This window comes from Homo sapiens, chromosome 2, assembly GCF_000001405.40.
Source record: "Homo sapiens chromosome 2, GRCh38.p14 Primary Assembly".
Taxonomy (NCBI): domain Eukaryota; kingdom Metazoa; phylum Chordata; class Mammalia; order Primates; family Hominidae; genus Homo; species Homo sapiens.
The window spans coordinates 177794860-177810194 of NC_000002.12; the positions used below are offsets into that span (position 1 = coordinate 177794860).

Here is a 15335-nt window from a genome sequence, read left to right on the forward strand (position 1 = left end):
ACTGCAACCTCTGCCTCCCGGATTCAAGCTATTCTCCTGCCTCAATCTCCCAAGTAGCTGGGATTACAGGTGCCCACCACCATGCCCAGCTGATTTTTTGTGTTTTTAGTAGAGATGAGGTTTCACTATGTTGACCAGGCTGGTCTTGAACTCCTGACCTCATGATCCACCTGCCTCGGCCTCCCAAAGTGCTGGGATTACAGGCATGAGCCACTGCACCCAGCCGGTGTCTGGTTTTTAAAATGGCATTCTAACCTTTATTCTTATTTCATTCTACGGGATGAATTTAATCACGGAAGTTGAATGTGAGGTTGGGAGATGGGTCTGATGGGGCCAAATTTGGAGTTTCTGGACAATGGGAGGAGTGTTTAGGGTGGGACACACTTTTGGAAATAGACATATAAAAATAGAGGGTTTGAAAACTTCCTTACATTCATCACCTGGTGACATCTGATGACAGGAACGGGAAGGGGCTACAACAGGTAGGTTTCTCCAGTCTCTGCTCTGGGCCCAACACCTGAGCCAATGTTCTGATTGGCTCCTGTTTGCTTCCATTCCAAGAGCAGATGTTTTTGCTAGAAAGTGTTGATTACCCGCTTCGGCTTAACTGCCACAGAGTTTATCAATATATGTGATGTCACACACACACATTTAGGGCATGGAGAAGGGGGTGGGGGCTTTTATGCTCTTTGTTTTTAGGTGCTAGTCAAAGACCTTCTGAAATGCCTTCTTGGGTACCTAAAGTCAGGCCTCTCCTCTTTCCACTGGGCAGGGAATTGAAGATAACCCCAAGCAGGTTTTGTTTTACCCTTTATTGATATATGATAATTTACATATTTATGGGGTACATGTGTTTGTTACACGCAAAGAATGTATATAGATCAAATTAGGGAAACTGGGCTATCCACCACCCTCAGTGTTTATCATTTTTATGTATTGAGAAATGTGGATCCCACCTCCCTAAGACTCTGCATCATCACATACTTTCAGGTGGTTAGGGAGGGCCACGTGAAGCAAAAGTCTCCCATGTTGTCTCTGGGGATTGTAGATAATTATTACTATTATTTTGTTTAAACTATATATATATATATATATATATATATATATATATATATATCTTTGCTTTAAGATGCCAGTATGGGGCTTATGATCTAGAGTGGAGAGAGTGGAGTGAAATATATCTTAAAGTGATATATATATATCTTTGCTGTAAGATTTTAGCTACAGTAAGTCTTTTTGGAAAGGCCTGACTGTGACTTTAAGGCCATAATGAAGGCAGGTGCTGGGATGGAGACACTCAGAACAGGAGCCTGGTTAGTGTCTTTGTGACACTCAGGTGACTGACTTGTGAGAGTTGGCCTGGGCCCCAAGCTTTGAAGGGCTCCACTCTGTCTCTTCTATCCCCTGGAAAGAAAAGTCCATGGATTTCCGGGACGATGTCATTCAGATTATATTCCAGGTACCTGGGATCAGCCAAACTAAATTCCAGGTATCTCAAATTCCCCCAGGTACCCCAAATGCCCCAAGCCCATTGCCAGTACCTGCATGGGCTTCCCCCTGAGATTTGGGCTCCTCTGGATGCACCTCTGCAGGGGCTGTGTGTGGGGTTGACCAAGTTTGAAATGTGCATAATGTAGGGCTCACACCTGTTAAAATCCAGCACAGTGTGGAGGGGGATCTAGGGGGAAGGGGAGGTGAGTAACTCCAATGTCTTCTAAACGGTTTGTAGGCTTAGTTCCTTCTGGTTGGATTTGGGGTGTGATCTGCCACCTTTTGATAGCAGCATCCTGGTACTGTCCCCTTATGACAGCACTATCAAGATACTGAGCACTGGGCCTAAAGTGAATGTCAGTTTCTTACTTGGCCAACTATAAACACGGCTTTCATAAGCCAATGTTTTACAAGAGAAGCCAGCAGGCAAAGGCATGGCTGTTCCACTACAGAAAGCTGTTCTCTTTCGCACACTGTGGGGTAACTGACCTGAGTCAACTAACTTAGACTCAGCAACTGCTCCAGAAAAAAGTGAGCTGCTGGAGCCCAACAGAGACACTGGCTATTACTCCTAGGATCTGCACTGTAAAACCAAAAGCATTAGGGTTGAAAGAAACAGTTTCCTTACTGACAAGTTAGTAATTTTCAGTGAGGTAAAAGAGGAGGAGGAGGACAATACATTTCCAAGGGTGCTTTATTCAGTTTGAGCTTTTAAATCAATGGGCAAGTCTTCATTATTTACCCTTAATTACTGTCATCACAGTCTCATAAACCAGAAGCATGCCCCCGGTGTAGAAAACAGGCCCTTTACCTTGGCTCTCCTCCCACTTCCATCAGGGCAGCCAAGGGCTCCAGTGGTAAATGCTCTCCTGCAACTGATAGGACATTCCTCAAAAGAGCCCTTGCGGTACAATTTGTACAACATGGCCCTTTGAAACAGATAGATCTGAGCTTGAATCCTGGCTCTACTTCTAGCTGTGAAATGCAAGCCACAAAACCTCTCTCAGCAAGTTCCTAAACCTTTCTGAGCCTCAATTTGCTCACTTGTCAAATGGGAATGATACTGTGTACTCCATGCTGTTTTGGTGAAGGTTCAATAAAATACATATGCAAAACACATAATTAATGCCTGACACATAAGCATTTAATAAATATAGCATTTCAAAAAGGACCAAAATAACATAGCAAAAGCAGAAGAAATAAGAAGAATGTAAGGTAATGAAAGAAAAATTTTAAACAAATAAACCAGAACAAATGCATCCAAATAACAATTACTTCTTAAGGCTACTATGGGGACTATGTTAAGTTACTCCAAATGTTCTGCTGTGTTTGGGAACTCTTATCCAGGATCTCAAAGTACGTTCCTTAGACCATGACAGTGGTGGCAAATCATTTGAGAGCAGATTTGATTTTGGAAAACCACAAAAATCATTTAACAGAAAATAAAATAAAAACATGATCAACAATTTTGTTTTAAAAAAGTATGATTATGAAATACTAAGATAAATTTTATCTTCTCAGCTGCCAACATGATCTCTCTAAAATGTCAAACTAATCATGTTCCTCTCCTGCTGAAAACACTTCAATGATTCTCCACTGCTTTTAGAATCAAGTTCAAATTCCTTCATGTAACACAAGCATCCTTTGTGATCTGACCCCGGGTAGCTCTCCAGCCTCAGGCCCTGCCTCTCCCCTGCTGTGCCCTTTTCCCTGTCTGCATTGAGGTGCTTGAATAGCATGCTACTTCAGTTCTCCCTACTTTTACCTATGACTTTCCTTCTCCATGGAGCATTCCTGCTAGTTGTCTTTAGAAATTGTATAGCTCACTGCTACCTGTCACTCTGAAATTGCCTTCTATGCAAAGCAGTTATGTCTGACTTTGAACAAGATGCCCCCTCCTCTATGCTTCCCCTAACATATCTACCTCTTTCTTGGAGCTCGTTACACTTGGCAGTAATCATACTTTCATTTATCTCTGTCCTCTATTAGACTGAAATCACATGAGATTGTACTACAGCTTATGAAATTTACATAGTCGTAGTCTACTCTATGCTGTTTTGGTGAAAATCGAGTTCTTGGCACATAATAGGTGATCCATTCGTAACATTAATGATTATTTATCTTACAAATCTCATGGTTTCCATTAAAGTGTTTCAAACATATTTAAATGATGATATAATTATTAGAAGTAGTACATAGACTCCCCTGCAGACTATTTGCAGAGAAGCACCATTTGTGCATACACATAAGTTCTTTTTTGTTGCTGTTAAAAAATTACCTTACTGGATTCTGGTATAAAATGATATCTGATGAAGAAAGGAGTAGTGGAATATAACCCTAAGTGTAAAACAAATATTGGTGTATATATATCCTGAGTATATAAATATATTGAGATAAATAAACACATAAACAGAGAGAAGAGACAAATATCCCATACAAAAGAATTCTAAATAATATATGTAGATAATTCCTCTTCAAGGAGGTGGAGCATAACTCCCCACTCCTTAGGTGTGAGCTGTGCATAGTGACTTCCTTCTAAAGACTACAGTGTAGAAAGAGGAAAAAAGAGTAACTGTACATTGGGGAAACCTGACAAACACTACTTCCACCAGACGATCAAGGTTAACATCAATCATGGTAAGTCATTTTGATAGTATGTCCCCTTGATATGATGTGATTAAAATGGCACTTAACCTCTGTGCCTTCCTCCCCCAAACCCATAATTTTGGTGTAATCGTGAGGAAAACATTGAACAAATTCTAATAGAGGGAAACTCTACAAAATACCTGACCAGTTTGCTCGAGACTGTCAAGGTCAACAAAATTGAAAAGTATGAAAAAGTATCACAGCCAGGGAGAGTCTAAGGAGACATGATGAATCAATGTAATAGGGTATCCTGAATGAGATCCTGGTACAAAAAGGGGATATTTGGTTAAGATTAAGGAAATATGAATCAAGTATGGACTTTAGTTGATAATAATATAGCAATATGGTTCATTAATTATAACAAATGTACCATATCTTAATAGAGGAAACTGGGTATGAGGTATAAGGGAACTCTCTGTACTATCTTCCCAATTTTTCTGTAAATCTAAACTGTCATAAAATATAAAGTTTATTTCTAAAAAATGATACCTCACGGCTGATTCTCCATGTAAGTTCTCCCACTTTCCACAGAATACCTAAATGAAAACCTAGAAACCATCAATAACTAAAACTGATAACCTACTACTAGAATATGAGAAGAATTTTCACCAAGTATAAGGCAGATGCAGCTGGACTCAGAAAAATAACTAGTAGCTTAACCATGCTTTATCTCCACCCCCAAAATGAAGCAGTCCCCCTTGGTCTGAAAGAAGATGGGAAGGCATTGTTCTGAAAGCAGTCTCCAGAGGGCAGTGTTCCTTTCTGTACTGTCTGAGCTCTCATTCAGAGACCCAGGATCTGTGCTAACCAGAAAATTAACCAGTTCACCTTCTACTGAATGGTAGCTGTTTTTGAAGTATTCGCTTTCATCTTGTGGGAAAGAGTCACTGCAAATAAAGCACTGTATGATGGTGGGGGGTGGGGGATGTTATAATATAAATAACTACTACTTTTGACATTATATGAACACAGTGGTAAAGATTTTACTGGCGTTAATTCACTTCATCGTTATTAACAATCCCACAAGGTTGGGAAGTGAGAACAATGAAGCACAGAGAAATTGACCTGCCCTGAGATGCACAGGTAAAAAAGTAGCACAGCTGAAATTAAAATCCTAATAGTCTCAGAACAAAGGTTAAAAAAAAACCTTAAGAATAATCCTAACAGTCTAATTAAAAAAATTTTTCTTTTTTTTTTTTGAAACAGGGTCTTGCTTTCTTCCCCAGGCTGTGGCATGATCATAGCTCAGTGCAGCCTCGAATTCCAGGGCTCAAGGGATCCTGCCACCTCAGCTTCCTGAGTAGCTGGGACTATAGGTGCATGCCACCATGCCTGGCTAATTTTTTTTCCCTTTTGTAGAGATGAGATCTTGCTATATTGCCCAGGCTGGTCTCAGACTCCTGGCTTCAAGCAATTCTCCCACCTTGACCTCCCAAAGTGCTGGGATTACAGGTGTGAGCCACCGTGCCCAGCCTCTAACAGTCTAATTTTAAAGCCTGCCCTTTTAATCACCTAACTGTAGTTCATTCAAAAACCCTCGTAGCAGCGTATGCTGAGGATTGAGATTCTTGTACTTTAATTATGATTTTTATTTGTATTTTACTATACTTGATCCACTCAACAAACATTTCCTACATGCCTACTGTGTGCTGCTGGTACTGGGCACATAATGGTGAACCAGACCCATAGACATATTTCTATACATAAGGGATCCAGAATCCACTGAGACCTGATGGGGGGAAGAATATTCCATCTCAGCCTAGCAGGAGTACACTAGATCTATGTCTACATGCTAGATGCTGAGAATCAGCCTAGTAACTAAATATTAGTACATAAGTTTGCTCCCCTTTTGTATATCTAACCAAGGAGATTCAACAGGACATAAGTGGACCACAAAAGAGCTCAGGGGCAACCCCAAAGTCTTGCCTGTTGGCAAACACTGCAGTCCAAGGGAAGGAGAGAAGCACCCTAAAAACCCAGAGAGAATGTTTTAATACATCTGATAATTGTTTCATGCATGCAACCTTTTAGAAATCTTATGCTTAGTATCTTCAAAGATACAAGAAGAAAGAGCATCATTGAAAGTGGATCAGAAAACCATATAGGCAAAATATGTTTGAATGAAATTTATAAAACAAACAGAAGAATGAGTTAACATAGTTCAACTGTCACTTGCTCAGGGTGGTCTCTCCTGAATGTATCCACAGTAGCCCCATATTTTTAGTCACTTTTTATTAAAACATCCTGCTTTATTTTCTTTATGATACAGTATAATAAATTTATCTTGCTAATTTATTTGTTTACTTGTCTACTGCCTGTCTTACTAGAATATAAGGTTCATGACAATATGAATACTGTTTGATTTTTAACTGCTGAGTCCTCGGTATGGAGAATGGTGACTACCAAAAAGTAGAAGCTCAACAAACATTTACTCAGTGAATGAATATATAGACAACAACAGAGATGGTTAAAATGTGGAACAGTTTCAAAAGAACTCAAATTATAATAGCAGAATTTAAGCCCACATTGGAGTTAATAAATATTTTTTAAATGCAAGAGCTCAGAATCAACAATCAATGGAAAAGAATGCAGAACAGAAATGGGCCAACACTTATTTTTTAAACAATGGTGCCAAAGTGATCCCATGGAAAAAGAAGAACTTTTTAATAAATGATAAATATTTTATTTAAAAATGAACCTCAATGGCTATCAAGATGAATCATAGAGCAAAATGTAAAAGCTAAACCCAAAAAAGCTTTTAGAGGAGAAAACAGTACAATATATTCTTGATTTGTGGGTAGGCAAAGGTTTCTTAGATCACTAATAGCAATAAGCTTTAAATTAAAAAACTGATAAATTAGACTTCATCAAAGCTAAAAAGACACCATGAAAAAATCTTATCAAAAGACACCATGAAAAAATGAATAAGCAAGCTGCAAATTGGGTGAAAATATTGACAATACATATATCTGACCAGGGACTAGTATCCAGGATGTATAAAGAACTCTTCCAGTCAACAATAAAAAGACAAGCAATCCTATTAAAAGTGGGCAAAAAAATTGGACAGCTCACAAAAGAAGACATCCAAATGGTAAATAAGCACATAGAAAAAGAGTACAACATTTTTAGTCATAAGGGAAATGAAAATTAAAGCCACAATAGAATATTATGCACTTACCAGAATGACTAAAATTAAAATCAATGATAGCATTAAATACTGGTGAGACTGCAGAACAACTAAGACTTTCATAGTTACTTGATAGAAATGTACAATGGTATAGCCACTTTGGAAAAATATATACCTGGAAGTTCTTATAAAACTAAACACATACTGACCTTTTGACCAAGTAATACTAGGTATTAGCCCAAGAGAAATCATAGCATATGTTCACAAAAATACTTATACAAAAATGTTCATAGCAGCTTTATTCACACAGCCCCAAAATGGAAATAGCCAAAGTATTGATCAAGAGGAGAATGGATAAACTATGGTATAATCATATAATAAAATGTTACTTAGCAATTAAAAACATCAAAGTTATATACCCAACCTGGACAAACTTCATATGCATTATGGTGGTTGAAAGAAGCCTTACCTAAAAGAGTACATATTGTATAACTGAATTTACATGAAATTCTAGAACAGGTAGAATTATGGTGGAAAGAATCAGAACACTGGTTGTGTCTGGGGGTAGCAGTGATATCCTGGGGACGGAGCAAAAGGGAACTTTCTGGGGTGATAATATATCAAGACATTTTTCCTATTGAAAAATAACAAAATTGTTGTTTTAAGCTAATACATTTTGGGGCATTTTGATATGCAAGATTAGATTACCAAAACAAAAAGATTATGCCTAACCAAATGTTATGAATACAGGTATATTCATACTGCAAAAGCACTTGTATAAATTTAAAAATTTGCTAATGAAAATGTAACTAAAAATCTACAATACATGAACAAAAACTAGGAAACTATAGGGAAAGTGCATACTCCAATTCTTTTTTTATATAGTAAGAAATTAAAAGATACTCATTCATTTTTGTCTTGAGAAATATTGATTAAAGAATGCTTTTGTAAAAAAAAGATAACAAATAATTTTCACTTCAAGTAAGGACTAAAAGAAACTAAGCAAAATATAGTCCAAATAGTAAAATTCAGGAAAAGCAAAGCATAAGAAAGTAGAAGCTCAGATAGAATAAGATGAAATAATAGATATAAAGCAAAATCCCTCATTAAAAGCAGAATCTTAGATTAGATAAAAAATTATATTCAGAGCAGTGAGATTATGTCACTTATAAAAAAAATCTCCTAACAACAACAACAACAACAACAACAAAAAGACCAGGAGCAGATGGATTCACAGCTGAATTCTACCAAGCATACAAATAACTAATACCAATCCTCCTGAAACTATTCAAAAAAATCAAAGAGGGAATTCTTCCTAACACTTTCTACAAGGCCAGTATAACCCAGATACCAAAGCCAGACAAAGACACAACAAAACAAGAAAATTACAGACCAATATCCCTGATGAACATAGACACAAAAATCTTCAACAAAATACTAGCAAATCAAATCCAATAGCACATCAAAAAGATAATATACCATGATCAGGTGAGATTTATCTCAGGGATGTGAGAATAGTTCAACATATGCAAATCAACAAGTGTGATACATCACACAAACAGAATTAAAAACAAAAACCATAAGATCATCTCAAAACATGCAGAAAAAGCATTCAATAAAATTCAGCATCCCTTCATGATAAAAATTCTCAACAAATCAGACATAGAAGGAACATACCTCAACATAATAAAAGTCATACACAACAAATTCACAGCCAACATCATACTCAATGGAGAAAAGTTGAAAGCATTCCCTCTAAGAACTGGAACAAGACAAGGATAACCATATGCAGAAGAATGAAACTGGACCCATATTTCTCACTATAGATAAAAATGAACTCAAGACTGATTAAAGACCTAAATGTAAGACCTCAAATTATAAAAATCTCAGACAAAATCCTAGGGAGGACTCTTCTGGACATTGGCCTAGGCAAAGAATTTATGACCAAGCCCTCAAAAGCAAAGGCAACAAAAACAAAAATAGACAAATGAGACTGAAGCTAAAACCTTCCTCTACAGGAAAAAAAAATCAACAAAGTAAACAAACAACCCACAGAATGGGCAAAAAGTTTCCAAATTATGCATCTGACAAAAGGCTAACATCCAGAATCCATAAGGAACTCAAATAATTCAATAAGAAAAACAAGTAACCTCATTAAAAAGTGGGGAAAGGACATGTAAGCCGGCAACAAATACATGAAAAAAATGTTTGACATCACTAATCATCAGAGAAATTCAAATTAAAACCACAATGAGATACCATTTTACACCAGTTATAATAGCTATTATTAAAAAGTCAAAAAACAACAGATATTGGCAAGGAGGCGGAGAAAAGGTAATACTTATATGCTGTTGATAGGAATTAGTAAATCTTTATGAAAAACAGTATGGAGATTTCTCAAAGAACTAAAAACAGAACTACCATTCAATCCAGTAATCCTACTACTAGGTATATCCCCAAAAAGAAATAAATCATTATATAATAAAGATACCTGCACCCATATATTTATCACAGCACTATTCATAATATCAAAGATATGGAATCAACATAAATGTCCATCAGTATAAGACTGGAGAGAAAGAAAATGTTATATATATATCCACATAATGGAATACTATTCTGCCATAAAAAAGAATGAAACTATGTCTTTTGCAGTAACATAGATGGAACTGGAGGCCATTGTCTTAACTGAAATAATTCAGAAACAGAAAAGGCAAATAACATATGCTCTCACTTATAAGTTGGAGCTAAAGAATGGGTACACATGGACATACAGAGTAGATTAATAGACATGGAAGGCTACAAAAGGTGGGAGGTTGGGAGCGGGTGAGAATTGAAAAATTACCTATTAGATACAATGTTCACTATTAGGGTGATGGATACACTAAAAGCTGGCTCACCACTACATAATATATCCATGTAAGAAATCTGCACTTGTACTCCCTAAATATATTTTTTAATTAAAAAATATATATATATTTAGATGTATGTAGTTTACAAAAAAATGCCTAAAACAAAATGACCCAGAAATAAAAAATAAAATAAACAGATGAGTCAGGAATTATTGTTTTAAATATATATCCTTAAGAAGGATTTACCTAAAACCCCAGTAGAGGTTATGTCCCCTCTCAGATGCTCTTATGGCATCCTGTATTTTCTCCTTACAAGAATTTATCACAACTATTACTATATTCTGGTTTCCATGATTTTTTTTTCAGTTTGCCTCCACATTCTAAGCTCTTTAAGGCAGAAATAAACCTGCTTTGCTCACTGCCTTATTTCCAGTGCCCAACCCAATGCTTAGAAATAGGAAATTTTCACTGAATGACTGTATTCCAGAAAAGGAGTAAAATAAAAGAGAAAGCACAGATAACAACATTAATTTCAAACTAAGTCGATTCCAAGGTCAAATCAATGAAGTAAAAGGGTAATCTTAAATCTATAAAAGAAACACCTCATGTTCTTGAACCTGTTTTTGCAAATAATATGGAATAAAAATGTATAAAACAAGAAATATTAACAATTCAAGGAGAGGGATAGATGATAGACTAAAAATATGTTTATATTCCTTCCTGACAAAATATCATGAAATTACCAAAATGCTAATATCTGATACATTCAGATCAGTAGTGGAAAATAGAAAGGATTGGCCAGTGGTTTCAATTTATGGTTAGGTAAAGAAGATCTCAAAAGATTATCACTGCCTTCATAACAAGAAAAAAGAGACAAAGCAAAAATCATACTTCATTTTAAAGCTGTCAAAGAGTGAATGTGAGACAAAGAGAAGTCTAAACAAATAAAATTCCAGTCAAGAGAAGCCTTTTATAGACCAATAAAAAGCAGTGACTGCTTCCATATCTGGGACCAATTGGTTACATAGTGGAGAGATGAGCCTGCCATCATAGAGCAACTCCTAAAAGGAGAAAAACTAGCAATTTTTCAAATGATAGTATGGGTTGGCAAACAGACTCTTATCTAGAAGAGCCACAAATGCAAAAGTAAACCTCTTGGCTTGAAAATTCTCTGCCACAGGAATTTGCTGTGAAATTGATGATGAGTGCAGAGCCAGAAAACTGAAATCTTACATTCTTGCACATGAATTTGGCTGGAGTTGATGCCAAAGAGAACTGAAATGAACTCTAGCTGCAATTCAAACCCCTCCCAGCTCAAATCCTGATTGTGACCAGTTACTCAATGCAGCCTGGGTAGTTGGGATTGGGTTGAAGGGCAAAGGGAAATCTTCATAATCTCTTTTTAAAGCAGAAATAAACTGAAACTAATAAAAAGCTTCAGCCAATCCCCAGCTAAAGCATTGCAGATGGTCAAATTTTTATGATCAGCCTCTCATTCTAGCTGTCTGACATTTTTAAAAAATCACATATCCTCTTTATGAGAAATAGAACAAAACAAAAGATTTTATTTAGTTCAAACAAATCTAGTAAAAATATTATTTACTTTTGTCCTTCTATACAACATGTTTGATATGCAATAAATACTTATGAATACATGCAAAGAAGCAGAAAAATGTGACCTAAAATCAAGAGAAGAAATAATCAATACAGGCAGACTTACAGATGCCCTTGATGTTAGAATTAAAGACCAAGAATACGAAATAACAATTATAAAGAATTATGTGTTAAAAATTTATAGAAGAAATTTTAGAATATATAGAAAAATTTATAGAAGAAAAGGTGGATATAATTAATAACAGTTGGTAAGTTTCTGCAGAGAAATAAAACCTTAAAAAGGAACCAAGTCAAAATTTATAGAACTGAAAAATGTCAGAGTGCCAGAGAACTGTGGGCCAATATCATTTGATTCAACATATACGTAACTGGGTCCAGAAAGAGAGAGAGAATAGGAAAAAATAAGTATTTGAAAAGATATTAGCCAAGTATTTTCTGAAATCAATGAAAGTTATCAACTCTTAGATCCAAGAAACTCGGCGAACACCAAGCATAAGAAACATAAAGTAAAACACATTTATGTACATCATAGTCAAATGACTGAAAAACAAAGATCTAAAAGGAAATGTTAAAAGCAGTAAAGAAAAAAACCCATTACATTTAGGGGAACAACAAAAATAATGGCAGAGTTTTCACTAGTAACAACGGAAGCCAAAAGACAGTGGTATCTTAAAAGGGCTGAAAGAAAGAAAAAACTGTCAATCCAAATGATAAGGTAGTTAGCTTTAAGCAGTAAGTTACCACTGATTTGATTTCTTCTAAATACTTTTTACATTTTCTATAACAATTGCATTGTTCTTATAATTTAAAAACATTTTTGTTTTTATTATTTTATTTTATTTTATTTTTTTGAGACGGGGCTTGCTCTGTCACCCAGGCTGGAGTACAGTGGCATGATCCAGCTCACTGCAGCCTTGACCTCCTGGGCTCAGGCAATCCTCCCACCTCAACCTCCCAAGTAGCTAGGACTACAAGCGCATGCCACCATGCCTGGTTAATTTTTGTATTTTGTATTTTATAGAGATGGGGTTTCGCCATGTTGCCCAGGCTGGTCTTGAACTCCTGGGCTCAAGTGATCCTCCTGCCTTGGCCTCCCAAAGTGCTGGGATTGTAGGCGTGAGCCACCAGGCCTGGCAAAAACATTTTTAAAAGAACAACTAAGACAAATATTGTATATGGGTTACACTTAGTATACAAGAATCCTCAGAAAACTATCTGACTAATCTTTATCCTCATACCAAATATCTACACGATTACTACTGTTTTCACTAGTCTTTGTAAAATATTTATATATGAAGATTAACTAAAAAACAGTTTTTATGTGTCAATAGCCCTTTTATAAAGAGATTAAAAGTAAGAAACAATCACATCTCTTGGGGTAGGTGAGAAAACATTAATGAAAGACGTGAAATTTGAGGTTTGTTAGAAAATACTTTAAGGAAATGGAGAAAAGTTTCAGAATAAAAATTTCAAGATATATTTGAGAAACACAAATAAATCTAGGTTTTTTCATGGAGGGATGAAGCGAGATATTGATGTCAATAGTGGAGAATCTTGAAAGATCTAATTTGTAGGCAATGGAAAAAAATATTTACCTAATCTAACATGTTTTGAGTAAAGAAGAATTTACAAATGAGAACAATTCTGTATCTACTGGTGTGCTACATTTGGATTTCTAATTGACAGCTTGGTATTCCTTGTACCTGTGAATCAACATGAGTAGATAGTTATCATTTGGACAATCACTAGATCATTGTCTGACAGTAACTTGGTCTGAAAAAATTATTTTGGTAGATAAAAGGATGTTTAAGTGGAACTCTTCCTGAGTTTATAACTTAGAACAACAGGTACTATATTCTAAAGGTACATGCTAAGCCATAGGACTTGGAAAGAAAATGCCCCAAACTAGGTCTACCTCCTCCAAGCTGAGCTGCTCACTGTTCATCTCTGAATTGTGTAAGAAAAGGGTAACAGTTTATGAGAGAGCCTTATATGGAAGATTTCTTAGCTAGGGTTTCTTAAAGCTTCCTTCTACAGAACTACTTGGAGAACCTAATATGTATTTGCCCAGGATGTGACATGCTAGCAGACACTGGTAGCTGATCCATACCTAAAAATTCTAAAGGTTAGTGGACAGAAGGAAGAGAGTGGAGTGCTACATTGAGGGGACCTGTGTTTGTACAATTTAATGAGCAAAGACTCATTAAATTGAGTGAGTTTTCCCCTGACCCAAAAAGACCCATGAAAAATAATCAGACCATGGAAGCAACCCTAGTATCCACTAATGTGTGAATGGATAAACAAAATGTGGTATATACTTACAATGGAATATTATTCAAGCCTTAAAAATGAAGGAAATTCTTACACATGCTACAACCTTAATGAACCTGGAAGACATGCCAAGGGAAATAAGCCAGTCACAAAAGGACAAATATTGCATGATTCTATTTATATGAGGTAGCTAGAGTAGTCAAATTCATAGACATAAAGTAGAATGGCAGTTGCCACAGGCTGAAGAGAGGGGAGTGGGGAGTTAGTGTCTCATGGGTACAGAGTTTCAGTTTGGGAAGATGAAAAAGTTCTGGAGATGGATAGTGGTGATGGTTGCACAACAACGTGAATGTACTTAGTACTACTGAACTTTACACTTAAAAACAGTTAAAGTCATAAATTTCATGTGTTTATTTTACCACTCTTTTAAAGCAACAACAAAAACAAAAACAACAAAAAATAACCTTCACCAAGAGGACTGCCTAGAGAAGTGAGCTGACCCCCACAGAGGGAGGGTCAGGATGGGCCAGTGGAAGCCAGGAATGAGAATGGATTATAAGCTGTTAGTCAGGAGAGGCAAACCCACAAGTAATTGCTAACAGGAGATTCCCAGCCAGGCAGTTATCTGAAGAATTTATAAAAGCAGCTCATTACAAAAAGAAAATGTTGGTGTCTGACACAGATGGCCCTGAAATCAAGTTAGGAAATCCTAAGACTTTGCCCTTTCATCCTACCTCCCTCTTGAGCCCTGTACCTGAATTGGGAGATAAGGTGAAGTGAGGAAGAGTAAAGAAGCTATGACTGTGTCTCTCTCCTGACTACAGGCTTCTAAATGAAGGGAAGGGAAGAAGCTCAGAGACAATTTAACATCTGTGTGTGCAGACAATTTAACATCTGTGTGTGCCAAAAAAGTGGTGGAATGGTACTAGACAGTTTATACAGGAGTGGGGATGATTGATTCAACAGAGTAAGTTTAAAGGAAGAAGAGTGAGAAAGAATGAAGTGGCATTCTACTTGTAGTCTCTGAGTCTAGCCCTTTCATCCAGTGAGAGAAAATCTTTCCTCGGAGCTTAGAAGATTCCTGATGAAAGAATCACTGCTTCCACTTCTCTCCTTCTCCCTTACCTTCAGGAAGTCAGATTGGCTTCTTCATCCTCATCTAAGGATATATCCCATGGAAGATGGTATCTAGGAAGAGGTCTACCATCCTCCCCAAATAAAAGCGCAACTCTGTATCTGTACCCATGGCTTATGAAGGAGGAAGGGAATACGAGCTGATGTTATGCCAGTCTGTGGTCAGCAAGACTGCCACTAAGAGTGACTGTCAATTCTCC

At 36.6% G+C, this 15335-nt stretch overlaps 1 protein-coding gene across 4 annotated transcripts in view, besides 1 other annotated feature; it reads right to left on the minus strand.

Annotated features, from left to right (window-relative positions):
* The window catches only part of PDE11A (phosphodiesterase 11A), a 485096-nt gene that overhangs the window by 171616 nt on the left and 298145 nt on the right, over positions 1-15335 (minus strand). The window lies entirely within an intron of this gene.
* Positions 2864-3431: an enhancer, noted in NCBI's record as "NANOG hESC enhancer chr2:178662451-178663018 (GRCh37/hg19 assembly coordinates)". NCBI's record gives its function as "activates a minimal SCP1, AML or CMV promoter by ChIP-STARR-seq in naive H9 embryonic stem cells {active_cell/tissue: H9 hESC(naive)}" and the evidence as "EXISTENCE:reporter gene assay evidence [ECO:0000049][PMID:30033119]".